Genomic DNA, 13,226 nt, shown 5'->3' with positions numbered 1-13,226 from the left:
TCCAGCCCGGGCAACAGAGTGAGACTAAGAAAAGCCTCTGGCCAGGCACAATGGCTCACGTCTATATTCCCAACACTCTTGGGAGGCAGAGGTGAGTGGATCACTTGAGCTCAGGAGTTTGAGACTAGCGTGGGCAACATAGCAAGACCTTGCCTCTATAAAATGTAAAAAATAATAAACAAAAACAAAAACAAGCCTCTGCTGAGCAGGCACACCAGGCCTCAGGGTGGGCTCCTTCCAACCTGGGCCACAAACAAGGGAGCTGGCTGGGACTCTGAGCAGAACAGGTGGTTCCTAGGATGAATCTGCAGTCCCCGCACCTGGGCATCCTCCCTTCCTGAGACCTTCCCTCTTCCTTTCATGGGGCACATTGTGCAGCCTTTTTCTACTCTCTCCCAGACCAAGCAGGATGGCGGTGTTGTGGGGGGTGGGGGTAGGTGCAGGTGCTTACGTGTCATAGATATGGATGTTTGCTGGGATGGCGCTAATGAACCCAACCAATTTCCGACTTGAGACCACTCGAACCCCACAGTGCCACTGGGGGAGCCAGCCGGGTGGCCGGAGAGCCCTGGAAAAGAGAGGCTGGGGTGGTTGTGCTGCTTGCCGGCAGGCTGGACAAGCCGCTTGGGCTCCACAGCCAAATTTGGTTCGGACCTGGTGCTACCACCTCCCTGAGGGTTAATAGCTGGATTCTCTTTAGGGCCAAGCCCTCCTGGACACACAGAATCGAGCCATCACCATTTCTGGCTGCTCATCCCATTTGGCCTAGTTACTCATCCAACCCAAGGTTATCATACTGAGGATTTCATGCCTGATCCAATTTCTGTGTTCACTTTGACAGCTTGAACCAAGGTACTGGCATCTTTGGTTCGGAGGCCAGTGGGTCCCATGGTTGAGAGCTGACTGTGGCAACCCTGGAGCTCTGGTGTCCTGTCTCCCTCTTTCTGGTACAAATTCTTCCTTCCCTTTCAGGTAGTCCCTCTCCATTTCGGCCCATGCCTCTCTCTTCCTGGATATTAAACGTGGCCTGGGCAGGTGGATGGCTCAGCCAGGCAAGGCTATACAACTGAGCATGCTCAGGAACTAGATAGAAAATGTGCCTTCTTTTCTTTCAGTCTTAGTAGGTCTCATGCCCGTTCCTTTCTTATATAAAGTCACCAGACAATGAATACCTCTTCCCTGGGTACTAGCTCTACGAAGGTCTCCCTCACCCAGTCAATTGTCTTAAACAAGGCTGCAATTCTAAGTGCTAATGAAAGCAAGTGTCCTTCAGATGCAGGAACTCAAAAATGACACACTAATTTGCCATTCAAAGGTTGGCCCCTGGCAGGGATGAAAACTCTGGTGCCCTCTGGTGGATCTGCTCTATGCCTTCCTCTCAAGAACCTCAAGAAAGCCCCCACAACTTACCACAAAAGAAACTCCGGGGAATAATCAAATCGGAACATGTTGTCATCATCTTCCACATAGTTCTCATTCAGGAGGGTGTACAGTTCTTTTAGCTGTAAAGAAATAAGCAGCTCACTTGGAGGTATTCTGCCAGGTAGTAGACCAACTCCAATACCCTGGGGCTCTAGGCTTTTCAGAAGGATGAAGCAAACTACCAAAAACGACGTGGAGTCTCACAAATCCTTCTGCCCCCTGGCATGGTAGGAACTCTTGGAGCAAACACCCTAGTTATAGTAGAAAACTGAGCCATCACGTGGTAGAGTGGCAGACCGAGAATGCCACCTAACTAACCAACCACTTCATCATTCTGCGCCATCAACAATGGAGAGCCACTGGTCTCAACTTCTGTGAAGTGCTATAGAGGGACGACTCTCGAAGCTAGTCAAGGAATTACCACGGAGAGTCACTGCTGTTTCCCACCTTGTCTGATTTTTTACCATCTGGCCCAAACAAAGGCCTTTTTTCCTTTCTTTTCAAGATAGAGTCTCACTCTGTTACCCAGGCTGGAGTGCACTGGTGTGATCATGGCTCACTGCAGCCTCCAACTCCTGGTTTCAAGCGATCCTCCTACTTCAGCCTCCTGGGTAGCTGAGACTACTGGGGCATACTACCATGTCCGGCTAATTATTAAATTTTTTTCTTTTGTAGCGGGGGCAGTCTCACTATATTGACCCGGCTGATTGATTTTGAACTCCTGGGCTCAATCGATCTTCCCACCTTAGACTCCCAAATTGTTGGAATTACAGGTGTGAGCCACCACACCCAACCACAAAGGCCTTTTTCTGCCTTCTCAGCTATCTCCATCTGCTGGCCCAACTTTGGTATTAAAAAATTCTGTTGGCCCGGTGTGGTGGCTCAAGCCTGTAATCCCAGCACTTTGGGAGGCTGAGGTGGGCGGATCACCTGAGGTCAGAAGTTTAAGACCAGCCTGGCCAATGTGGTGAAACCCCATCTCTACTAAAAAATAAAAAAATTAGCCTGGCGTGGTGACAGACACCTGTAATCCCAGCCACTGGGGAGGCTGAGGCAGGAGAATTGCTTGAACACAGGAGGTGGACGTTGCAGTGAGCCAAGATTGTGCCATTGCACTCCAGTCTGAGCAACAGAGCAAGACTCCATCTCAAAAAAAAAAAAAAGACTGGGCGCAGTGGCTCATGCCTGTAATCCCAGCACTTTGGGAGGCCGAGATGGGTGGATCATGAGGTCAGGAGTTCGAGACCAGACTGGCCAACACAGTGAAACCCCATCTCTACTAAAAATACAAAAATTATCCATGCATGGTGACAGATGGTTGTAATCTCAGCTACCTGGGAGGCTGAGGCAGGAGAATCACTTGAACCTGGAAGGTGGAGGTTGGGGTAAGCCAAGATCGCGCCACTGCACTCCAGCCTGGGCAACAGAACCAGACTCTGTCTCAAAAAAAAAAAAAAAAGCCAGGCCTAGTGGCTCATTGCCTGTAATCCCAGCACTTTGGGAGGCCAAGATGGGCAGATCACCTGAGGTCAGGAGTTCGAAACCAGCCTGGCCAACATGGTGAAACACCATCTTTTCTAAAAATATAAAAATTAGCTGGGCGTGGTGGCACTCACCTGTAATCCCAGCTACTCGGGAGGCTGAGGCAGGAGAATCGCTTGAACCCAGGAGGCAGAGACTGCAGTGAACTGAGATGGTGTCACTGCACTCCAGCCTGGGCAACAGAGCGAGACTCCATCTCAAAAAAAAAAAAAATTCTGTTGACTTTTTTTTTTTTTTGAGACAAAGAGTCTCGCACTGTCACCTGGGCTGGAGTGCAATGGTGAGATCTCAGTTCACTACAACATCCCCCTCCCAGGTTCACGAGATTCTCCTGCCTCAGCCTCCTGAGTAGCTGGGATACAGGCGTACACCACCACACCTGGCTAATTTTTTGTATTTTTAGTAGAAATGGGGTTTTATTATGTTGGTCAGACTGGTCTCAAACTCCTGACCTCATGATCCGCCTGCCTCAGCCTCCCAAAACGGTGGGATTACAGGTGTGAGCCACCACGCCCGGCGACATTTTCATCATTCTTTATAAGGGAAATAAATCCCTCAGGTCAAAACAAGGGGCTCTGGGTGGCCGGGGTGGAAAGGGGAGGACAGGGCCTCATTTAGCAGCCCCAGCTGCTCCAGTCAGGAGACAGACTAGAAAGAAAATGAGGAAATGAATGAACAAAAAAGAATAAATGAAAAACAGGTATCCACATCGGGGACCTACAGAGGTTAACTTCCAACCTGCCAGAAAAGCTAAGAGCTATTTATGTGGAGTCTTGGCCATGCCCCAGGAAGTTACAGACGGGAGTCTGTTCAGACCTCCTTGGCTCAGCTCTCTAGGGCTCGAGTAAACGTAGTCTAGGTGAGACTGCAGGGCTTACTGTGAAAGTGGCTCCTACCCGCAGGTGTAACCTTCTGAGGGCCCACTCACCACACCACGATCGCCCAGGTCCAAAGCATCCCAGGTGAAGCCCTGGGGCAGGGTGTAGGGCTCCTGGCGGATATTGTCCTTGTCAGGCTCCACGGGGCCATGGGTGTTCACCACTTCGCCTGAAAGAAGAGCACAGCTGTGAGCCTCACCCTTTGCCCCCTCGGGGCAGTAAAGGGCTCAGTTCAAAACTCAACCAGAGCAAATTCCTCCTGTCCCTAGGAGCCCTCTATCTGAAGAACATTCTGTGCTTGGCAACTGCAAACCGTCTTTCCAGCTACCCTTAGCCCCTAACTGAGGGCCAATTCATGGCAAAACCTCAGGACAATCACTGGGATCCAAGGTGGTTCGTGTTTTGGAAATCCATTTAAATCTCCCTTGGGTCACTGAATGACAAACATTTATCTTTAGTAATTTGGCTTCCTGCCTCCTGGTTGGTGTAAAGAGTGCTGTCAGGGCCCTGGCCCAGGCCCATCAGTCTGGATGGGTTTGTAAGGAGTCACAACAAGGCTGCTTTTGTGTCAACAGCAACAACAATGTACTGGGCCCATTTCTGAACCAGATGATGGCTTCTAGGCGCCAGGCTCAATCGTGGCCCTGCCAGCCTTGGCTTTCAGCAGCGTGAGCCAGTTAACTGCTACTGCCAACTCAGGCCCTCAGTGTTTAGAGTCCTGCAAGTGCCTTTGGGCTGAATCACCAAGTCTACATAGTGCTGCCGGGAAGTCACCCTGACACAACATCCCCTCCCTGAGCAGGATAGGCCCCTCCTCTGTGGGAGCATGTGGGGAGTGCTCCAAAGACACAGCCCTCATTCCTATCCAGAGCTCAATCGGACTCATATATGCTGAGAGATTCACCACTGAATTCTGGCCCTTGGGATGATTTCGGTTCTACAATGGGCTCACTCATGTTTACACTGGGAAGAATGCAATGTTTAGTGCATTTTGGAAAATGGAGTCTTCAAAAGGGACCAACCCAGTAACAGTGTTCCTAGCAAAGGGCTCTGTATAGACTAGGCACTCAATTCATGCTTTTACTGACTTTCAGACTCCTGATCCCAAATATTTTTTTTTTCTTTTCTTTTCTTTTTTTTTTTTTTGAGACAGTCTCATTCTGTCGCCCAGGTTGGAGTACAGTGGTGCGATCTTGGCTCACTGCAACCTTCACCTCCCTGGTTCAAGCAATTCTCCTGCCTCAGACTCCCGAGTGGCTGGAATTACAGGTGTCCGCCACCACGCTGGCTAATTTTGGTGTTTTGTTTTTTTTTTTTCAGTAGAGATGGAGTTTCACCATGTTGGCCAGGCTGGTTTCAAACCCCTGGCCTCAAGTGATCCACCCGCCTCGGCCTCCCAAAGTCCAAACATTTCATTCTAACATGTAACAGGAAGCTCTAGACCTTCCCAGAATGATAATCTGTGGGGCAAGTGTGGTGGAAAGGGCTGCATCAGGCTGCAGCACACGACACCACCGCTGGCACTGATCATCTCACCCTCTTCCATCAGACACATTACTGAGCACCAACCGTGCACCAGTGACTCAGTGACCATGCCAGCCCCTAGTGTACAGCAGGAAAAAGGACCAAGTCCCTGTCCTCATGAGACATACCATCTTCTGGGGAAATAGTAAATAAATGAGTCATTATCCACGTGCTGCAGGTCAGGATCTGGAAAGTGCAGGGACACACAACAGGGAAGCAGCCTGCTCTGTTGGTAATCAGGCTTCCCAACAGGTTTGCTTGGGAGAGAGGTCATATTTTTCTTCCCTAGTTAGGAAACTCATGACTGGCGAGATGGGGTCTTGCTCTGTTGCCCAGGCTGGAATGCAGTGGCGTAACCTTGGTTCACTACAGCCTCGACCTCCTAGGCCCAAACGATCCTCCCATCTCAGCCTCTCGAGTGGTTGGGACTATAGGCATGCGCCACTACGCCTGGCTAATTTTATTTTTCATAGAGATGAGGTCTCACTGTTGCCCAGGCTGGTCTCAAACTCCTAGACTCAAGTGATCCTCCTGCCTTGGCCTCCCAAAATGCTGGGATTATAGCATGAGCCACGGCGCCCAGCCAAAACCCACCATTTGATTATTCATAAAGTAGCTCTTGTGAATTTAAGTCAATCCGCTTCCAACTGACAGCTATGTATATTAAAAAAACATTTTTGAGCCTACAAAACTGAGGGCCAGACCCTCTAGTCTTATCTAGGTGCTAATTTCCCAACTTGTATTGAATTTATACCTTTTCCTATACACTTCAGAACCTTCTTTTTTTCCCCCTGAATTATTTCCATGGCCAAGAATACTGATGGTCTTCCCTATTGTACTAAAATAACCTCAAGGCTAAATCTTCTCATTTAGGCTGGCTACTAGGTCCTACACGCAACAGGCACTTCCATTCACTCACTCCTTCACCAAGTGTTCACTGAATCCTAGAATGTGCCAGTTCTGTGGCAGGGGCTGGCGAATGAAACAGACACAGGTCCTCACCATCATGGACACCAAAGAGATGAGCAAGGATGCACATGCCACCCGGCATGGTGAGGGCCAGTAAGAATGAAGTACAGGGTGCTATGGGACGTGTGTGTGTGTGTGTGTGTGTGTGTGTGTGTGTGTGTGTGTGTGTGTGTCAGGAAAGACCTCTCAGAGGAAATATCTAACGACAAGACCTCAAGGATAATTAGGAATCAGCCAGGCTGCAGGTGGACTATGTGGGGCAGGGTGGGTGTGAAAAAGTAGAGCTACAGGAAACACTGAAAAGGGAGCAGCCACTTTTACTAGACTCCCACTGTGGAGTGCCCTCGATGCCAAGAAGCAGCCCAAGGCTCCTGTGCTGTCCTCGGTGTGGTGCCAGCATCATGGCCTCTGCTTGTCCTGCTCTGTGGGGAGCAGCCTGCCTTCTCCCTTACAATGGCCTTTGAGTACCTCCTGCTGAGCAGGGGTGGAAGGCTGCTCTGCAGAGCACAGCAAGAATGCAGCTGATTCTCTCAAGGCCAACATGAACCAATAAATGACTAAGGATGACACTTCGAACTTGCTTTAAAAGAATCTGGAAGTTTAAAGAAAACCCTGAGCTTTCAATGGGTTTCTTTCTGCACACTCTTCCCTCAAAATTCTCTCCATGACATCAAACATCAGAGACCCAAAACTAAGCAATGCGGTGCAACTGTGAAGGACTTCGGAGAAATGAGAATGTCTGAGATGCGGAAAACATTAAACCAAACAAAGGCCAAGGAGAGGAAAAAGAGAGGGGAAGCTTCTCTCTGGGACCCATGGAAACCAGGTGAGTGCACATCCTCCCTTTGATAGTGACTTTTTAAAACAGAGTGGCCACACTGCATTCCACTGACCAAAGACAGAAAAGGATACTGCTTCCGTTGACATGAGTGGGAAAGGGGTGACTTTAAAAAGAAGAACGACATGATCTCGAGTGGGGGATCAAAAGTTCATCTGCGGCTCTTACAGTTGTTACACAGACTAAAACACTTCTGCTAAGAAGGCCTTTCATTTTTATTTATTTATTTTTTAATCTTTGAGACAGGGACTCGCTTTGTCACCCAGGCTAGAGTGCAGTGGCACGATCATGGCTCACTACAGCCTCGACCTCCAGGACTCAAACGATCCTCCCACCTCAGTCTCCTGAGAAACTGGGACCATAGGCATGTGCTACCATGTCTGGCTAATTTTTAAATTTTTTTGTAGAGACGAGGTCTTTCCCTGTTGTCCAGGCTGGTCTTGAGCTGCTGGGCTCAAGCAATCCTCCTGCCTTGGCCTCCCAAAGTGCTGGGATTACAGGCATTGAGCCACTACACCCGGCCTAAGAAGGCCTTTCCATGGTAAACCTAGGATAATTTTAAGCTTCTAAAGAATTGCAGGTCTCAGTCAGGTGCAGTGGCTCACGCCTATAATCCCAGCACTTTGGGAGGCTAAGACAGGAGGACAGCTTGAGCCTAGGAGTTTGAGACCAGCCTGGTCAACATAGTGAAACCATGTCTCCACAAAAAATTTAAAAATTAGCCAGGCATGTGGCAGGCACCTGTAGTCCCAGCTACTCAGGAGGCTAAGGTGGGAGGATTGCTTGAGCCCAGGAGATCAAGGCTGCAGTGAGCCATGATCATACCACTGCACTCCAGCCTGGGCAGCAGAGCGAGATCCTGTCTCAAGAAAATAAAAGAGAGGGCCGGGTGCGGTAGCTCATGCCTGTAATCCTAGCACTTTGGGAGGCCAAGGCACGTGGATCACGAGGTCAGGAGTTCAAGACCAGCCTGGCCAAGATGGTGAAACCCTGTCTCTACTAAAAATACAAAAATTAGCCGGGCGTGGTGGTGGGCACCTGTAATCCCAACTACTCGGGAGGCTGAGGCAGAGAACTGCTTGAACCTGGGAGGCAGAGGTTGCAGTGAGCCGAGAAAACGCCACTGCACTCCAGCCTGGGCGACAGAGTGAGACTCTGTCTCATAAATAAATAAATAAATCAGAGAGACTTGTAGGTTTCTTTAGTGGAATACCATCTAATTAAAACTCTCCCAAGAAGGTGGAGAGTACTGTAAAAACACAGTGCAGCTGATATGCACGAGATTTATAATCATTAGTCCTCCAATTAAGTGAAAAAAAAATTAGGGCAAGAAGCTGTAGGTACCACCACCCCTGAGAAAACTCAGAACTAGGGTGACGCCTCAGCCATGCAGGCTAACACGCCTGCCAAGGTGGCACTTTTTACAGGCTGACACAAACACAGGAATCTAACTGGGGCTTGACTGACCCTGGACCTCAAAGGCAGACTAGTCAGATGCTCAGGGTGACTGCTCTTCCATGGAGTCCGACACCACACACTGCACAGAAGGCAAAGCCAGAAGAAATAAAACCAGACCTTGTTCCTCCTTCCTCAAAGTGTCAGGGCCCGTATGAGCAACTGTGTGGTTTTCTCTTGAGCTTTCTGAGAACTAAACTGAAGCACTTTCTACATTTACAGGTGAAAGGAAAACAAAGTATGCTGGGCTGAAGAGGAACAGAAGCAAATTAATCCCAAGCTGCCTCTTTTTTTTTTTTTTTAAATTCATTTTTGAGATGCATTCTTGCTCTGCTGCCCAGGCTGGAGTGCAGTGGTGCGATCTCAGCTTACTGCAACCTCTGTCTCCTAGGTTCAAGTGATTCTCCCACCTCAGACTCTCAAGTAGCTGGGATCACAGGCCCATGCCACCAGCCCAGCTAGTTTTTGTATTTTTAGTAGAGACGAGGTTTTACCATGTTGGCCAGGCTGGTCTCGAACTCCTGACCTCAGGTCATCCGCCTGCCTCGACCTCCCAAAGTGCTGGGATTACAGGCGTGAGCCACTGCGCCCAGCCTCAATCTGCCTCTTTCCCAAGTGCCACTATCTGTGAAGAATGTAGCAAGGTTACTCATTTGCAAATTCCTCAGGAAAAATAAAATCAAACCAAAACTCCAAAATGCCATCTGAAAACAGAGCCAAGATACATGGCAGCCACCACACAACACCTCATCAGGGATTTCATTCAGAGGTGAGATGTGTGGCTCTCTGCATCTTTCCTGCTCCTCAGCGAGAAACTGGTCACTGGGACCCTACCCTGTGGCCCAAAGCCTTGCTGGAGGGCTTAGCCAGTGGGCCTGGGACCTGGCCGATGAGGGCAGCCAAACACACACGGTGATGGGGGAATCAGCACCCCTCTTGTCCACCTGGGCAGTGCTCTGCTCTCCCTCACCCGTGGGGATGCACCTCCTCAGCTTGCTTCTATTGTGACCAAGCTTCTAAGAACTGCATCCGCTCTAGAGCAGAGCTTCTCAAACTTTCAAAGTGGACAGAAATCCTCTGGCAGTTCTGATTCTGCAGCTTTGGGGTGGGGCCCGACAAACTGCATTTCTACTAGCAATTAGGCAATGCCCATCCTGCAGGTCTGCAGGCCTCATGGATTAGCTGCTCCCAACCTCTGCAGCAAACAAATCTCCTTGGGCACAGCTGCCTTCCTCACCTCACCAGTCTTTAGCCCTACCCTGTCTGGCCCTGCCCCACCCTCCTCCTCTGCACCGAACATACTAGTGAAGTCTCATTGTGTTTCTGGAGGGGAGCAGTAATGTGGACAAGCTGAAAGTCATTTACATTTGGTGTTGGAATATGTTTTTTTCAACATACTTACTTTCCCAGTCACAAAGAAAACAGGAACTAGGCCACCAATGGGTCCAGAATCATGTTACAACCACTTCAGAAACTTTGTCAGCTGAGTCCTGAAGTCAGCCATCAAGGTTGGCTTGGCTCAGTCTTGGCAGGCACGTCTAACAGGATCCAGTCCCTTCCAGAATCCTTTTAGATATTCTGCCTATTCCACCCCTTTAGCAATTCATTATAGCTTTTTTAAGGGGTGCTAATGAAATCTATATATAGTATTCCTGTTGTTGAACCATCACTGCTAAGCAAAATCTCAAACCACTTTGCATTTAGTAAGCATGCATTGGCTAGGAGACAAAGGGGAAGAGGCTGGGGACTTTGCCCATTCCAGGAATAAACATGTGCCCAGACAAACAAGACAAAGTCTCTATAAACCTAAGTGGAAAAAAGACCTCTGGGCAGACATTCCCACTCTTCATGTGCCAATAGTTTTGTTTTGTTTTTTTTTTGGGTTTTTTGGTTTGTTCGTTTTTTGAGTTGGGGGTCTCACTCCTGTCACATAGGCTGGAGTGCGGTGGCGTGATCTCAGCTCACTGCCGCCTTGACCTCCCAGGTTCAAGTGATCTTCCCACCTCAGCCTCCTGAGTAGCTGGGACTACAGGTGCATGTCACTATGCCTGGCTATTTTTTTTTTTTTTACTTTTTGTGGAAACAAGGTCTATGTTGCCCAGGCTGGTCTCGAACTTTTGGGCTCAAACAATCCTCCCACCTCGGCCTCCCAAAGTGCTGAGATTATAGGTGTGAGCCAGTGCTGTTGGCAAGAATCATTATTTGTTCTCAAGGTGTGCTGCTATAAAATGGTAAGGTCTCTGAATGATAGTCTTTATGCTGCATTTTTAAAAACCACCCTCTGAAAACAACTACCAAGGAACTCCAGGACTCTACTGCCCTCCCTACAGTAATTCAGCATGAAACCCTCATGAAGGCACAGCTGAGGCAGATCCCTCGCCCCTGACCTGGCAAAGAAAGCAAGCATGTACATACCCAGCTTGGGGACGGGCTGCGTATCCCAGAACTGGTAGCTTCGCTTGCTAGCCTCCTCCATGGTTTTGGCAGGTCCCTGACCCACTGAGAACAGCTCAATGGCCTTCTGTATTTCCTGGATCCTCTCTGCTGGCAAAGAGTTCATCTGGACAAGACAAAGTTGGGGAGAAAAAAGGCCCATTATGTTAGTAAGACTTTTGATTAATTATGAGTTCAAGAGTTAAGGGGAGCTGGGTGCAGTGGCTCATGCCTGTAATCCCAACATTTTGGGAGGCCAAGGCGGGCAGATCACTTGAGGTTAGGAGTTCGAGACCCACCTGACCAACATGGTGAAACCCTGTCTCTACTAAAAATACAAAAATTAGCCAGGCGTGGTGGCGGGCACCTGTAATCCTAGCTATTTTGGGAGGCTGAGGCAGGAGAATCACTTGAACCTGGGAGGCAGAGGATGCAGTGAACCGAGATGGCGCCATTGCACTCCAGCCTGGGCGACAAAGCTAGACTCCGTCTCAAAAAAAAAAAAAAAAAGAGTGCTGGGCGCAGTGGCTCATGCCTGTAATCCCAGCACTTTGGGAGGCCGAGGGAGGTGGATTGCCTGAGCTCAGGAGTTCAAGACCAGCCTGGGCAACATGGTGAAACCCTGTCTCTACTAAAATACAAAAAATTAGCCAGGCATGGCGGCGTGTCCCTGTAATCCCAGCTACTCAGGAGGCTGAGACACGAGAATTGCTTGAACCTGGGAGGCAGATGTTGCAGTAAGCTAAGATCACACCACTGCACTCCAGCCTGGGTGACAGAGCAAGAATCCATCTCAAAAAAGAAAAAAAAAAAAAGAGTTAAAGGGTACAATTCAAAGAAGGGGTTTGGTTCCTCTGTCCTAATCCCAGAGGTCATTACAACCAGAGAAAAAGTGGTTGACAATGAGCTATATGATGGGTGGGTGCTGCCCGCAGGGTTTCTCCCCTTATTAGTCTTATGTTGTTTGATGGCAAAAGTAATACATGCTCAATGTAAATTTCAAACAATGCAGAAATGTGTAAGACACATAGAAAGTAAACACCCACAATCCCATCCCCCAAATATAATCTTTGTGATCAATAGTCTTCACTTGGGAAGGTGAGAAGAGGCAAATATAATTCCAGACTTTTTTGCATACAAGTTCCAAATGCACACACACTTTTCAAAAACTAAAATTGGATCATATAATATTATCGTACAAACTGCTCTTTAAAGACTGTCTTAGAGACCTTTCCAGGTGAAAACACCTGGACCTACCCATTCTACCAAGTCCACTGTATGTATGGACCACAGTATATTTAGCCAGCCCCCTACTCATGGGCATTTTGGTGATTTTGTTCTTTAGTAATACAACAATGTTGCAGTGAATTTCTTTTTTTTTTGAGACAGGGTCTCGCTCTGTTGCCCAGGCTGGAGTGCAGTGGCACAATCATGGCTTACTGCGGCTTCAACCTCATGGGCTGAAGGGATTCTCCCACTTCAGCCTCTTGAGTAGCTGGAACTATAGGCGTGTGCCACCAGGCCCAGGTAATTTTTTTGTTTGTTTTTTTGTCGAGACGGGGTCTCACTATGTTGCCTGGGCTGGCCTCGAACTCCTGGGCTCAAGCGATCTGCCCAACTCAGCCTCCCAAAATGCTGGGATTACAGGCCACCACACCCAGCATAAATTTTCTTATACATCTATTTTTACCCACTGGGATATATATTTCTGTAGGATGAAGTTAAGAAAGAGGCCTGCTGGGTCAAAAGGTATGCACTTTTGAAATGATTTATCATCAATTTGCTCTCTAAAAAGAGACTATCAGTAATCCAACGAACAGTGTATGAGAGTAGCTCCTGACCCTCACCATTAGATTTACCAAGCCTCAGCTGAGCTTGGTGGCTCACACCTGTAATCCCAGCACTTTGGGAGGCTGAGGCGGGAGGACTGCTTAAGCCCAGGAGTTCAAGGCCAGCCTGGGCAATATAGTGAGACCCCTGTCCCTATTAAAAAAAAAAAAGTGGCCGGGCGCGGTGGCTCACGCCTGTAATCCTAGCACTTTGGGAGGTCGAGGCGGGTGGATCACGAGGTCAGGAGATCGAGACCATCCTGGCTAACACAGTGAAACCCCGTCCCTACTAAAAATACAAAAAATTAGCCAGTGTGGTCACGGGCGGCTGTAGTC

The 13,226-nt window shown here is 48.8% G+C and overlaps 1 protein-coding gene across 1 annotated transcript in view, besides 1 other annotated feature; it reads right to left on the bottom strand.

Annotated features, from left to right (window-relative positions):
- Positions 1–13,226, bottom strand: part of NMT1 (N-myristoyltransferase 1) — a 47,700-nt gene that overhangs the window by 11,321 nt on the left and 23,153 nt on the right. The window contains exons 3-6 of the mRNA NM_021079.5: positions 11,044–11,188; positions 3,893–4,011; positions 1,411–1,502; positions 452–568 (exon numbers count right to left, since the gene is read on the bottom strand). Coding sequence (NP_066565.1) covers positions 452–568; positions 1,411–1,502; positions 3,893–4,011; positions 11,044–11,188 — 473 coding nt within the window. The remainder of the gene's footprint in view (positions 1–451; positions 569–1,410; positions 1,503–3,892; positions 4,012–11,043; positions 11,189–13,226) is intronic.
- Positions 6,471–6,972: an enhancer, noted in NCBI's record as "OCT4-NANOG hESC enhancer chr17:43168092-43168593 (GRCh37/hg19 assembly coordinates)". NCBI's record gives its function as "activates a minimal SCP1, AML or CMV promoter by ChIP-STARR-seq in naive H9 embryonic stem cells {active_cell/tissue: H9 hESC(naive)}" and the evidence as "EXISTENCE:reporter gene assay evidence [ECO:0000049][PMID:30033119]".

Source organism: Homo sapiens, chromosome 17 (assembly GCF_000001405.40).
Source record: "Homo sapiens chromosome 17, GRCh38.p14 Primary Assembly".
NCBI classification, from domain to species: domain Eukaryota; kingdom Metazoa; phylum Chordata; class Mammalia; order Primates; family Hominidae; genus Homo; species Homo sapiens.
This window is presented reverse-complemented; position numbering and strand designations above follow the sequence as displayed.